Below are 14,262 nucleotides of genomic sequence, written 5' to 3' on the forward strand. Positions count from 1 at the left end.
TTAATCATTTGAAGAACAGTCAGACTCTTCCAAAGTGGCGGTACTATTTTCCATTCCTAAAAGCAGTGTATTTAGGGTTCTAATTTTTCTGCATGCTGTCCTACCCTTACTATTATCTGACTTTTTGATTCTAGTCATCCTAGTTGGTGTAAAGTGGTATCTCACTGTGGTTTTGATTTGTATTTCCCTCAATAATGATATTGAGCATCTTGTCATGTGCTTATGTGCTTGTTGGCAATTTATAAGTCTTTTTTGAAGAAATATCTATTCAGATCCTTTGCCCACTTTTAATTGGGTTGTCATTTTATTACTGAGTCATAAAACTTCTTTATATATGCTATATACAAGTCCTTTATCAGACATAGAGTTAGCAAAAATTTCCTCCTATTTTGTGAATTGTTTTTTCACAGTCTTCATGGTGTCCTTTAAAGGACAAAAGTTTAAAAATTTTATGAAATCCAATTTTTCTATGTTTACTTTTGTTGCTTGTTCATTTGGGGACACATCTGAGAAACCATTGTCCAATCCAAGATCATAACAATTTGCCCTCATGTTTTCTTCTAAGAGGTCAATAGTTTTAGCTCTTCTGTTTGGAGTTTTGATTCACTTTTAGTTAATTTTTTCCATATGGTTTGATGTAGGGATCCAATTTCATCCTTCTGCATGTTGTCCCAGCACCATTTTGTTGAAAAAATTATTATTTCTCCATTGAATTGTTTTGACATCCTTGCTGAAGATGAATTGACTTTAGATGTGAGGATTAATTTCTGGATTCTCAAGCCAGTTAAATTAGCCTACATGTTTATCCTATGCTGGTACCACACTGTCTTTATTACTGTAACTTGGAAGTAAGTTTAAAAATCAGGAAGTGTGAGTCCTCCAACTTTGTTCTTTTTCAATACATATTTTTTTCTATTCCAGGTTCCTTGAATTTCTACGTGAATTTTAGGATCAGCTTGTCCATTTCTGCAAAGAAGCCAGCTGAGCTTTTGATTGGAATTGCATTGAATCTGTAGATCAATTTGGAGAGCATTTGCATCTTAACAGTATTAAGTCTTCTCATCCATGAACATATTATATTTTTCCATGTATTTAGATCTTTAATTGCCTTCAACAATGTTTTGTAGTTTTTAGAATATAAATCTTGCACTTCTTTTGTTAAATGTATTCCAAAGTATTTCTTTTGACACTATTGTAAGTGAAATTGTTTTCTTAGTTTCATTTTCAGATTGTTCACTATATGATATCACTTTTGTGGCATAGCATGTGATTGCTCATGAATGGTGCTGATACACTGATTTTTAATGACTTGTTTAGATAGACAAAAACTTCAAAATAAGATCTGCCTTATGCACACTAGGAGCATCCTAGCATCTTTGAATTCTGAGACGTCATTTTATTACAACAGTTTGTTTATTGATTTATTTGTCGAGGGCCCCCTGTGGGCCAGACATTCTTTTAGGAGTGAGAGGCACTGCAGTGGGTGCGGCAAAGTTTCTACCCCTGTGGAGCTTGTGTTCTCATGGGGAAGACAGACAACAAACTAACCGCTAACCAAATACTTAATATAATTTCAGGCAATCACAAGTCCTTTGAAAGAAAATGAATTAGCCTTAGGATACAAAGTTCAGGGGTACAATGTCAGATTCAATGGGATGGTGGGGAAGGCCTTTCTGGGGAGGTGACATAGGGACAGAATTAAGTGCAGGGTGAGCTGTGTGGAGAGCTGGGGAGGACAGTAGGCACCAGGCCCTGGGTGGGAACACACTGCAGGGGATGGGGGACCGTAGGAGAGCCAGCGTGGCCAGGGTAGAAGGGAGCTGAGATGGGGAGAGGAGCTGAAGAGTTAGGCAGGGACCAGGCCACGAAGTCAGATGGGCCATGGTAAGCACTGTGGCTTTTACCCTGAGTGTGATGCCAAGTCATTGGAGAAATTACCAAGAGCTGCAGGAGTCAGGGAAGGTGTCTTGAAAGTCAAGGAGGTAGGTGAGTTCTGCAGGGAGAATCTGCATGCGCAAAGCCTTCAGGGTATGGAGAGCCAGGCAGGAGCAACAGCAGGAAAAAAGGTATGGGAAGAAGCTCAGCCTGATTGAAGCAAATGGAGTACATTCTGGAGCAAGACAAAAGAGAAAAGGGGGGAGGGTTGGCATGCTCTCTGGTTGTATAATGGTCTATCCAGAAGGTAGCTTTGGTTTTAGCCCAGAGTTTAGCCCAGATTCAAGGCTTAGGAAACCTAGAATTGAGCTTTGGCTCTGACGTTGACTTGTTATATGACCTTGGGCAAGTCATCTCCCTTCTTTGGGGCTTGATGTTGTCATCTGTACAATGGGTGCTTTAGAACAAGAACAACCTCAAGTGTGTTGCCCCTGTAATGCATATCTTTGGAGACTGCTTGATTCACCAAACCCTGGACGAGAGCCCTTGCTAGGAGAGAGGCCTTCTGTTAGCTGAGCTGGTCTATAGCTTCTCTAAGCTCAGATGCTTCCTGCCCTGAGGTTTGGCAGGGTGACAGGGTAGAGTGTTACTATGATATATCTCTCCCTTTCATCATTGCCAAGCTAATGTGATAGCCTGTGGCTGGTCTGTAGGGCGGCTAAGCTTGCAAGGAGCTAATGCTGGAAATGCTGGAAGTAAGTGTGGCAGAGTTGATAAGTGGTAGAGAAAGGAGATGGAGACAGGTTAAACATAGCAATGCCAGGCCCAACTACATCGTGTCCTCCCAGAAAAAGTTGGGAAGCCCTCAGACACTGACTGGTCCACCTCCATTGGTTTGCAGAGAAAGTGGACAAGGTCCAGAGAGGGAATGACTTCTGCTTTAGGTCACCCAGCAAATTGGAGGCAGAATAGAAACATGGTTCCTGGTTCTGGACTCGTGGTCTTTCCACTGCACCCCACTGCTTCTGGCAAGTTGAAAGCCAATGCCCTTTGGGCAAGGAGAATTAACAAGAGGTAGAGAGAGGAATGTGTCTGAATGTTGGTTAGTTGGTAGGAGAAACAAGAAGTGAGCAGCCTCCTGGTGGTTCTACTTCTCTCTGATCAGGACACACTAGCACAGAGGTGCAGACCCTTGCTCTAGCTGCACCTGCCCTGGAGCCAGCAGCAGAGGGTGCTCAGGAATCCTGAGAAGCCAGCCTGTGAGCCCTCGCTGTGCCACACCTCTGTACCCACCACAACCTCTCCACCAGCGTGATCTGGCCCATGACACTTTCTGCTCAGAAATCTTTCCTTTGCTCACTTGCAGACAGGACTGGGGCAGGACTGTGGCAGCCTCTTCCCTGGGCTGCTCTATTCAGACTCTGGGGAACTTGTAGATGATGAAATTGGGAAAATAAAAGTTGTCCTCATTCTGGTCACCACTTTGGGAACACAGTTTTGGGAACACTTGAGAGAGGGGCTGATTCGTATGCCTCTGACAGACTGGCCCAGCACCCAGGAGACCGCAGCCTCCTCCATGCCAACCATGGCACCTGCTGGCATAGTCCACTAGTGCCCCAGTGACATTTGCCACTTTTCAGAGTCTTTCCTCACTCTTTACCCTCTTTAGGCCTTAGCCAGTCTGCTTTGCCAACTTGGGTGTGGTGGCTACTGTCTTTGCTCCAGCCCTTAACCTTGCGTTCTCCTGTCCTGACCATCTGCTCCTCCTAGTGACCATGGGGGCCATGGACCCCAAGCCAGGCCAATCAGATCCTTTCCCTGGGACTTTTTGCCACTTGAGCTGGCCCAAAAGAGCTTGTTATCCTTTTTCATACAAAGCTGTTTAGATATAAGCCAGAGATGCCTGTGACTAGTATTTCAACCTCCTGAAAAGCTGAAACTGGAAGAATAAAGTCAGCTGTCAGAGAAAGAGATGGAGGTTAGATAAAGCATCCTAGGGTGCTTGGGTGCCTGAATCCCACTGTACCTGGACCTCCCCTCTTTTTTGAGAGAGCTGGTGAACTTGAGTTTTTGTAGCAGCCAAAGGAACTCTGACTAATCTGTGGATCTGATAACCCTGGCTTGGCCTTTTCATGGGTTGTGAGAATCTGATGACCTGTCCGTGGTCCAAAACCAGCCAGGGGTAGATCTTCAAGAAGGCTTCCCCATCCCAAACTCCTTACAACAGCCATTCCACTCATCATGTGGAAAAGTGGGTAACCAGAAAGGACAGGAAAGGTGGGGACACATAATTGTTGGGGCTTGACATAGGCTCTCTCATCTCCACACAGTTAATATGGTTTTACGATAAAACAAAGAAATAAAATCCTATTTTATAAATTTAAAAAATCAAGACCATGCTGCTTGGTTCCTTCAGGCCCTGGGGAGTCTGTGTCTCAGCTCAAGTGGCCAGCTGGACAAGATGGGTGTCACCCTGGCCAGCCCCTGGACCAGCCTGCCTCAATCTCTGGCAGGCTGATGCCGTGGGTTCAGCCTACAGAGTCTCCTCCCTGGACATCTCTCTGGAGATTCAGGGTTGGCCAGGGCCTTGTGTGATAAGAATCACTGAATGTCAGTGCCCAGAGGAATCTTTGAGATGGAGAATGGAGCAAGGCATGAGACAAAGACACTTGGCCAGGTTCACACTGCTGTGTGGCTGCAATATGCTGGGCACAGAAACAGACGCAGGGAACCTTGGCTTAAGAGCTCCCACCACTGCTGCTGTATGCCACACTGCTTCCTGCCTGGTCCATCAATGTCCCCAGCAGGTGACCTTGGACAGCATCCCAGGAGCCAAATGTGGTCCCAGGGTCAGACTGACATGACAGGGAAGATCTATAGGTCTGGTGGAAGCTGCTTGGTGGCATCTCGCCCAGGAGTATCTAAGAATATAAAAGGGTTAGATTTGGGGATATGTATTTTAGCAGATTCTGAAACTTGCCTCTTGTATTTTTGTATACCTATACTCTGCTTCATGAGCTCAGATATAAAATCTAGGTCTGTCTTCTCTCCTAGTGCCTCTGTTGCTTGAAGATACAGAACTTCCTTCAAAGAAATAGGTGAATGGCCCATGCAGTAAATGCCCCCAGGACTGAGGTGATAAGCTCCTGGCTTTTCAGTAGACCTTCTGCTTGGCCATGCTTTGCAGGCTTCTGATCACTAGTCCAGGTGACTGGTTGAGGATGAAAAAGTCACCTCTTAGCCTCCTCCATTACTCCTCCATGACTCCTCCATGCTGTTTTCCTCAAGAAGGAAGCTCTGACCTGCTGGGGTACTCGTGGCTTACCAACACCAAGCCCTCTGTTTCACTTTTCTCCTTGCAGGGGCCTTTCTCTGCAGCGGTCCTTCTCCTTGTCCGTTGGCCTGAAGCCTGACCTTTGGTAAGGTCTTCGGCCAGAATGGTATCATGAGAAAGATAGGCATGAGGTGTAGTTGAATACTGTACTGAAACTGAAAAACAGAATGGTTGCATAGGTATTTTAAGTCCAGTTTCTTTTTTCTTTTTTTTTTTGTTTTTGAGATGGAGTCTCGCTTTGTCGCCCAGGATGGAGTGCAGTTGTGCGATCTTGGCTCACTGCTACCTCTGCTTCCTGGGTTCAAGCGATCCTCTTGCCTCAGCCTCCCGAGTAGCTTGGATTACAGGTGCACACCACCACACGTGGCTAATCTTTTGTATTTTTAGTAGAGATGGGGCTTCACCATGTTGACCAGGCTGGTCTTGAACTCCTGACCTCAAGTGATCCATCCACCTTGGCCTCCCAAAGTGCTGGGATTACAGGTGTGAACCATTGTGCCAGGCCTTCTTGAAGTCCAGTTTCTACTGACCATGTATCACTTTCTCACCATCATAAAATAAAATAATCAGTACGTCAAACTATCGTATATTGGAGACCATCTACATCATATACGTAGACATATCACATACATATACATACATATACATATATGATGCACATGTATACATCATATGCAGTGATGTACTTATTTCTTGATCCAAGTGTTGGTTAAATGGGGATATTCAGTTTGTAAAAAATTAGCAAACTATAAACTATAATCTTGTTATAATGTGAAAAAAAAAGAAAGGCATGAGGGAGGCAGAGCACCGGCCTTGGAGTCAGAACATCTGGGTTTGAAATCCTGACTCTACTGAATATTTGCTGAGCCAAGTTACTTCACTTTCTCATCTTCCCTACCTGTTGCCCTGCTGTATGGGGCTGATTACACCTCCTTCATGCCCTTGCTCATTAGGAGAGCTAAATGCCAGGCGGCAGGGGGACGAGGTGGTGTGCAAAAGCTTGGGTCACAGAGCAGATGATCAGGAGGTCAATGCCTGGTGCATTAGGCCACCCCAGCACTTCTTGCAAGAAAGAACACAGGAGAGCAGCAAGCCAGAGAGAGCTGAGCTTTTGCTGGAGTCATGTGACAGGCAGGACAGTGACTGAGGATTTAACGAAAGGACAATTTGAGCACCTCCAGTTCCAATGCCAATGAGTGCCTCTCCCTGTGTCCCCAGGACCGGGATGGTGCTAGCTGTTTGTGAAGTGCAACTTGTCCCCAGTAAGCATCTGTTTTGCTTCTCTCAGCACCAGCCCTTCAGGAAATTCTTGGCAGGCCCCCTGTGTGCTCCAAAGCGACGCCTTCCCAGCTCACTTTGGCTGCCAGCAGCCTTCCAGCAGGGGCTTCTTGCTCTGAATCCTAACACGAGCTTCAGCAGGGGCTTTAGTTGCTGCACTCAGCAGGGGACAGGAAGGGATGGTGGTGGACGGAGGGTGATGAGGCAGGGGGCCTTGTTCAGGGTTTCTGGGATGCTGCGGCAGACAGGGTCTGTCTGTGCATGTCTGCGGAGGCTGGCTCATCAGCCTGCAGGCCGGCCTAGTGCCTCATTTCTCAGTCAATGCCCCCAGCACTTGGTGAGCTGGGTCGACAGCGGGTGCAGCCACTGAGACAAGCAGCCAGATAGCTACTGGTCATGTTGCTTCAAGAAAAGGAAGTTAGGCCAGCCACAGTGGCTCACTCCTGTAACCTCAACGCTTTGGGAGGCAGAGGCAGGAGGATCGCTAGAGGCCAGGAATTTGAGACCAGCCTGAGCAAGACCCCGACTCTAAAAATTTTTTTTCTAAAAAATCGGCTAGGACTAAACATGTATCCCAGCTACTTGGGAGGCTGAGTGGGAGGATCACTTGAGCCTTGGCGTTTGAGGCTGCAGTGAATTCTAGCCTGGGTGACAGATTGACATCCTGTGTCTAAGAAAAGGAAAAAGAAAAGACTGTTAAGAATCTCAGTGATGCAGAGGCTTATAATGGGCGCTTGGGCCTTGCCTCTTCTTTATTCATGTGCTCACATGTAGTCATTCCCTGCCAGCCTCTAGTTCAGCCCCTGGGCACTCAGTCAGGGACAGGAAGCATGGCCCCTGCCTCTCTGATGCCCTTTGCAAAGACCCTGTCATGTCTCTGCCTGGATGACAGCCACAGCAGGGCAAGCCACGTGGTGGAGCAGGAAAACCCTGCAGCCAGACTGCCTTGGCTCAGCTCTCAGCTCGACCACTCCTTTGGGTTCTGATTTAGGGCAAGAAACTTACCTTCTCTGTGCTGCGACCAGCCTGATCAACATAGTGAAACCCCGTCTCTACTAAAAATACAAAAAATTAGCTGGGCGTGGTGTCGGGTGCCTGTAATCCCAGCTACTCGGGGCGATGAGGCAGGAGAATCGCTTGAACCTGAGAGGCAGAGGTTGCAGTGACTGAGATTGCGCCATTGCACTCCAGCCTGGGCAAAAAGAGTGAAACTACGTCTCAAAAAAATAAATAAATAAAGGAGGGTGGGGGATGACAGCAGTCCCTAATTTATATAGTTGGCATGAAGTTCAATAGGTTAATGAGTGCAAAGAGTGTGAAATAGGGCCTGGAATCTAGTCCATAAGTAACAAAATCATAATGACTCGGTTGTGCTACCTCTTGAGTCACCTTCTTCTAGGCTATCTCCATCACACAACCTTAGCGATCTTTCTAGGTCAGTCTGATCATAGTAAAGTCATTCAGAGGCTCCGTTGAAAGTTCAAACCTTTCCATGACCTTCAGACCCCTGCTTTCCTCCTCTTGATCACCTTTCCAAATGGCCATGCCCACTTTTCTCCTCTCTACCTTACAGACACTGCAGATGGCCTGCCATTTGCTAAACTTGCCACAGCTTCTCATCCTCTGCTGATCCTGGGGGACCTCTCCTCTCTCCTCCTTACCTCCCTGGAGTCCTACATGGGTTCTTCAAGAGGCCCTTCAATTTGTATTTGAAGGTAGAGAATCCTTCCTTGATTTCTCCTTCTCTAGCCAAAGCCAGCCCCTCCTGTGACCTCTCCCATTGACTGTCTACCCCAGGTCTTCTGTGCTAAGCAGTGTGTTGTAACCGCCCGAGTAAGCATATGTCTTCCATTGAACTCAGTGTCCTCTGGCCATGTCGGAGTCCTCTCTGGGCTGGCATGAGTAGACCCACAACAAACAGTTGTTGAAGGAATGAATGAACAAGATGCTTGGTGAATGCTTGCCAGATTAGAATGAAGAAGCTGCTAATCTCCTTTTGTCCTTACTACAACCCTTAAAGCAGATGGGGAGACACTAGCAGCCTGTTGGGACTTAGCTGCTACTTTGTTGGTATAAGTGACAGCTGGCTGGCCCCAGGCAGCTGCAAGATATGGCCTGGTCCGACTCTTTGGACAGTGCTTACTCTTCTCCCCAGTTAGCACGCGTTCTGTTGCCTGGGAGGGGTAGGTTGATGCACATGAAACATAGAACTTTCCAGAGATGCTCACCACACTGTCACCATGCCACATTTCCTTCTGCAGTGTGAACTTGCCCCTCCCCCATGAAGATGCAGACTCCCATCTCCCCCACCTTGAATGTGGGCTTGAGCCTACTTGATCAATACAGTGGGATGGAAGGGATGTTCTGAGACTTCCAAGGTTAAGCCATAAGAAGCTTTGCAGCTTCTGCCCGGGGCCTTTAGAATTCTCTCTTGGGATGCTCCTTCTGGGAAGCCAGCCTCCATACTATGAGATGGCAAAGCCATAGAAGAGGCCATGTGTAGGTGCTCTGGTGGACAGCCTCGGCTGAGTTCCCTGCAACAGCCCAGCCACGTGAGTGAGCCTTTTGGGATACCCAGATGGGCCAAACCTTCAGATGATGCCAGCCCCAGTGGACATCTGACTGCAATCCCATGTGAGACCTGGTGCGTGAGCTGCTCAGCTGAACCCAGTAAACCCGCAGAAACATGAGAGATGGTGATAAATGTTTGTTTGAAGTCACCAAGCTTTATGGTGGCAACAGATAAACAACACCAAGTTGGACTTGGTGCCAACTGGAGGAAGAAGTGACTGCTGACCACTTCTCTGTCTCCAAAGGGTGACTCCAGAGAGCCCCCAGCCTATGATTTCTCAGGATGTAGAGGAACGGACTTGGAGGTGGGAACCACATGATCTCCATTGTAAGGCCCACTAGCCTCTGAGATGCTTTCTTCAATTTGCACACTGCTCTGGGGCAAAAGACAGAGGGAAGGTTGGGACTGTTTCAAGGTCTAGTTTCCTCAGACTGTGGGGAATAACTAGTTTCAAGTGCACAGGTATAATGCCTTTACACACACCCTACATCCTGGTCCCTGTATGGTCTACTCCATGAAAATGGTCTAGATGCTTAGTACATGGAAGACGGAAGCAAGGAAATGGTGATGGAGCACCCATTCTGTGCCAGGTGGCTGACCTCCATTATTTCATTTGCTCTTCACAACAATTTGATGAGAGTAGAAGTATTATCCACATTGCACAGATGAAACTCGGTCAGAAAGGTTCAGTGATGTGTCCACACAGCAAGCAAGTGGCCAACCTGAAAAAACCCAGGCCGGCATCTCTACTGTTGATGACTTATGAATGGTCTCAAAGATACTGGGAAGATTCCCAGGGCTGTGCTTCATCCCCAGCTGCTGGTCAGGGCCTGAAATCCCCTCATTATTGCTTTGCTACTTTAGCTTAAATCCTGGATCCTGCCAGTGCCAATCCCTCTGGAAGGATGATGCATTACAATGTTATTAATCACCTACCCCAGGCAGACTGAGGTCCATCGTCTCTCCTGAGAGTCTGTTTTCATGGGAGGGAATGTGGGGTAGAGGCGCTGCTTTCAGGGACGGAAGAGAAACAGGTGGGGTCATAACACGTTCCTAGTTCAGGCTTTTCTCCATTCTTTCCAGATGGACCTTGATGGTGGGCTTGGAAAATCAAGATGATAGATCCTTAGTATGGGGCATGGGACAAGCCCCAACCCCTGCCTGAGACTGGCCTTCGCCAAGCCCAGTGGCAGCTCTAGAAAATATCTCTTTCTCCAGCTAATGAAGTCCATCCCTGGAATGAGCATGGGCACATTCATTGTCCTCTTCAGCTTCCTTCACATTTGGCTGGTTTCCCTTCAAGACTCCTGGGAGAGGCGTGTTTAGTTCTGGGCTCCAAACTCAAGGAGTGGCATTAAGCGACTGGTGCGAGGCCAGAGCAGACAGCCAGGCTGAGTGGGGAGGGAATGCCGATTCCTGATAGAGCAGTGCAAGGGTTCTCCAAGGGGAGGAGACCCGGGGGCTGGAGAGCTGGTTTCCACCCTGAGGATACCGGGTGGCTGAGTGCATTGCTGGACTTTGCCCATGCTCCTAATCCTTCTCTTTGGGATGGTTCCAGTTCTGGGGAGGCAGAGGCTACTTCACATGGGTGATCATGATGGGGAGTGACTACCTTGTCACTGGAGGTGGCTGAGCAGAAGACCTAACTGCCCATCTAGGCTCTGCAGAGAGGCTCCCACGGAAGGAGAAGGGACTGGGTGACCTTGGAGACCCCTTATCATGTTTCATTCCCAGGCTCTGAGAAAGGACAACCCCATCCTGGTGCAGCAAGATTTTAACCCCCTGGGGTAAAAGGGGGGGAACAAATTGTTGTGGCTGTCCCGGCGCTCACCAACCCTCCCGGCTCCCTTTACTCTGCTCTTTGGAGGTCTAACTTCCCTTCGGCAAGGAGCCCTTGCTCCTTTCTTTTCTCCCTTCCTGCTTTCCTTTCATTCATTTAACAAATTCTTGTTCAGCAAATTCTTTCTTGCAATGCCTCCTAGGATATTGGGCAATGCGCTTAGTCTTGGGGGACCCTGGAGTGAGGAGAATGAATACCGCCCCTGCCCTTATGGAACAGCAGTGGGGAGCGCCTGTGGAATAGGGGAGTGAGATGGATTATAGAAGTCTTGGGGGAAATCCAAGAAGGTTCAAAGTGAGGGCCGTGTTCAGGTAGGAGATGGTGTGGTGTGGGCTGGGAGGGTGGCAGTGAGGCCGGGGAAACTGGATGGAGTCCAGAGACAGAGAATAGGAGAATTCATCAGTGCTTGATGGAATGTTGGCTGTGGCAGGCAGGTGAGGAAGACGGGGTGTCAGAGGACTCCTAGGTCGCTGGCTAGAGCCCCTGGGTAAGGGAGGGGGCCAGTCCCAGGGATGCCTCACCGCAGCGATGGCGTGGCTGGCAAAGCTACCTCATGCTGGGGAAGGCTTCTGTACTAACGTTTCATTTCGGGCAGGTCTAGGAACAGCGACCATGCATTTGCTCACATCCTCTCTCCAGAGCCTGTCCGCATCCCTTCTGATCTTCCCGACAGCTCCCAGAAGCAGGTCTTTTTCTTAAGATGCCTCCTAGGTGCCTGCCCTCCTTTCTGCCGCTTCTCTGCTCATCATTGCAGAGGAGCGGTGATTGACACACCTAGAGGCCAATGAACTGCCTAGCTCCACCCACCACTCCCAGGTTCGCTGAGTCCCTCCCCAGCTCTCTCCTGTTCTCCTCCCGCAAGATCTCTCACGGTATCAAAATACCAGACACGATCCAGGGCAATAACAGGCCTGATTTCCACCTAGGGAGACAAGGGAGGGCCCAGCTGGGCCTCTTCACAGCATCCGTGATCGACCCCACCTGGCTGGATGTTGCGGGGGCGGCAGGGCAGTCTCAGGCTTCCCGGCCAGAGCCTGCAGCCGGGAAACATTCCTGCCCCGTTTCCATGGCTGCCAGTCGGGCTTGAGCCACTGGGGGCTGGGGGAGGGGCTTTGACTGGGCCTGCCTGTTCGACTTTGGGGGATTTGGTAGTTCTCCCTCTCCAGATTAGCTCATTGTGAAGCTGCTCTGAAGAACTCCCCTTTCCAGCAGCCAGTGTGCATGAAGCCAGTTCACTCCCTCCTGGGGGTCCCTCCCTGTGGGCGCGAAGCTCGTGAACTCCTGAGTCCCCCTTCCTGTGGATGTGAGGTTGGGGCACCCCTGGGCACTCCTTCCTGTGGATGTCAAGACAGTGCACCCCTGGGTACCTCTGCCTGTGGGTGTGAAGCTGGTGCACCCCTGGGTCCTCCCCGTGTACTCTGAGGCACTGGGATCCTGGTTTCAAGGCTTGCTCAGTCATCTCTGGTGGTGTAGGTCTTTGTGTTCAGTTTTATAAGTGGAGAAAACTGAAGATGATTCTGTTTACCTTACCCACCCCCTCACTTACCTCACCTAGCTCAGGGGCTGGGTATGGGGTGGTCTCAGCCCAGGACAACCTTTTAAATATTAAACATGGTACCATGCGATGTTTGTCATACTTATGACCTGGAGAAATCAAATGCGATTACTCAGCCATCTCAAATGGGGCAATGTGTATGCTAACAGCTACCCCTCCCGAGGGCATTTCACACATGCTACCTCCTGAGCTTCACTGAGACCATCTACAGGCAACAAAACGGATACACAGAAAGATGGGTGGCTGGGCTCACTGTGGCCTGCAGAGGAAATATGAGCTTGACGTCATCCCCAGCTGGTTCTGTATCTGAACACCGAGCACGAGGAAGTGATGGTGGCCAGGCCGGTCTGTACCTGGGCTCCTGCGCTCTGCCGCAGCCCAGTCAGTGTGGTTGGTGCCTGGTATCATTCCTATGTAACAGAGACAGACCAGAGAGGGAAATAAACTTGCCCAGGGCTGTGCAGCTGCTCAGTGGCATAACCAGGACTGGAACTCATGTCCTCTTCGTCACTCTCAGGTGCTCATCCCACTCATCTCAGCAAATCACATAAAGCTCTCGGTGGCCTTAACACCAGGTCAGGAGGACTAGAAGGGGTTGGCCACGAGACAAGGAGGAAGTCATTGAGGGGTGAAGCTGGAGACCAGCCTTGAGTCCTGGCTTGTTACTGGTGTGACCTTGAGCAATTTGCCCTCCTTCTCTGAGCCTCCATTTCCTTGGGTGTTGCCCAGGGATGCTGATCTGTGGCCAGCTTCCCACAAGCAGTTGCTCTGAGGACAAAGACGTGGGATGGGAGCTGGCTCTGTGGACAGGCAGGGGCAGCTCCCCCCTGCTCCCCTGCCATGGAGCTCCCTTGTCCTGGGTGAGTCTTGGCCAATGCCCCAGAGCCCTGCACAGTCCCAAGCTACTGTGGGAAGGCAGGGAGCTGGCTTGTGCCTCCCCAGTGTCGACACATCCGTTCTCAGGGGCTCTGAGATGGCCTCTCTTGGCCTGGACGTGCCACAAACAGTGCCCTCTCCCCTGCCTGTGTGTGTTTTGGGGCTGGCTGGCAGGCTCAGGAAAGCAGCCTGGCCTTATCAGAAGCCCTGGGTCTCCAGTTTCTGGGAACTGTCTCCGCTCTGTGGCTTTCTTTCCCAGGTGCTGGTGCCAAGCAGGCTCAGTCTGAGCGTCTGGCGGGGTTCCAGGCATTCTGTGTCAAGCACTTCTCAGCAGCAGGAAGACCAACTTCATGGAGGCCTGAAGGGACCCAGCAAATGACCTCTGTCTGCATGGCCCTGGCTTAAAAACAGGAGCATGGTTGTTAGCGCCCCCTAATCCACACAGGGGACCAACTCCTCCTAGTTGTGTGGGCTGGGCTGGGAACTCACACCAATGCCTGTTAGCCGCCTCTAGGGAGGGGACCTGCATGGAAGTGTCATCCTTTAGGAGGCATGACCAGGTGCACCGTCTCCATTCATGCTGCACAGGGATGGAGGCTCGGCGCAGAGACCTTGCTGGCCTGTGTTCTACAACTCCCATCACCCAAGAGAGTCACTCCACATCCCTGCGAGATGGGGATCTTGACTGTCAGTTAAGATTGAGACAATGGAGGTGCTATGAGGTTGAGAACTTCTCAGTCAATCAGCCATGTGTGGCTGAGCCAGGTTTGAAGCCAGGCAGTTGGGGTCCAGAGCCCAGTTCCCACCTTAACAGCACAGGAGGGGGTCCTAGGTCTTCTGGTCCCACAGCAACCTCCATGCCCCTGCCCCCTCCACTCCCTGACTCCCTAGGAGTGCAATGCATCTTACTGAGGTGGAGCTGGCTCAGCTCA

The 14,262-nt window shown here is 49.7% G+C and overlaps 4 annotated features.

The window, feature by feature from the left end:
• Positions 11,543-11,837: an enhancer, noted in NCBI's record as "tiled region #6049; HepG2 Activating non-DNase unmatched - State 4:PromP, and K562 Activating DNase unmatched - State 4:PromP". NCBI's record gives its function as "activates a minimal TATA promoter and a strong SV40 promoter by Sharpr-MPRA in HepG2 and K562 cells {active_cell/tissue: HepG2 | K562}" and the evidence as "EXISTENCE:reporter gene assay evidence [ECO:0000049][PMID:27701403]".
• Positions 11,543-12,498: a biological region, named in NCBI's record as "Sharpr-MPRA regulatory region 6049".
• Positions 11,687-12,498: an enhancer, noted in NCBI's record as "H3K27ac-H3K4me1 hESC enhancer chr10:80166933-80167744 (GRCh37/hg19 assembly coordinates)". NCBI's record gives its function as "activates a minimal SCP1, AML or CMV promoter by ChIP-STARR-seq in naive H9 embryonic stem cells {active_cell/tissue: H9 hESC(naive)}" and the evidence as "EXISTENCE:reporter gene assay evidence [ECO:0000049][PMID:30033119]".
• Positions 13,311-14,122: an enhancer, noted in NCBI's record as "H3K27ac-H3K4me1 hESC enhancer chr10:80168557-80169368 (GRCh37/hg19 assembly coordinates)". NCBI's record gives its function as "activates a minimal SCP1, AML or CMV promoter by ChIP-STARR-seq in naive H9 embryonic stem cells {active_cell/tissue: H9 hESC(naive)}" and the evidence as "EXISTENCE:reporter gene assay evidence [ECO:0000049][PMID:30033119]".

Source organism: Homo sapiens, chromosome 10, assembly GCF_000001405.40.
Source record: "Homo sapiens chromosome 10, GRCh38.p14 Primary Assembly".
Lineage (NCBI taxonomy): Eukaryota > Metazoa > Chordata > Mammalia > Primates > Hominidae > Homo > Homo sapiens.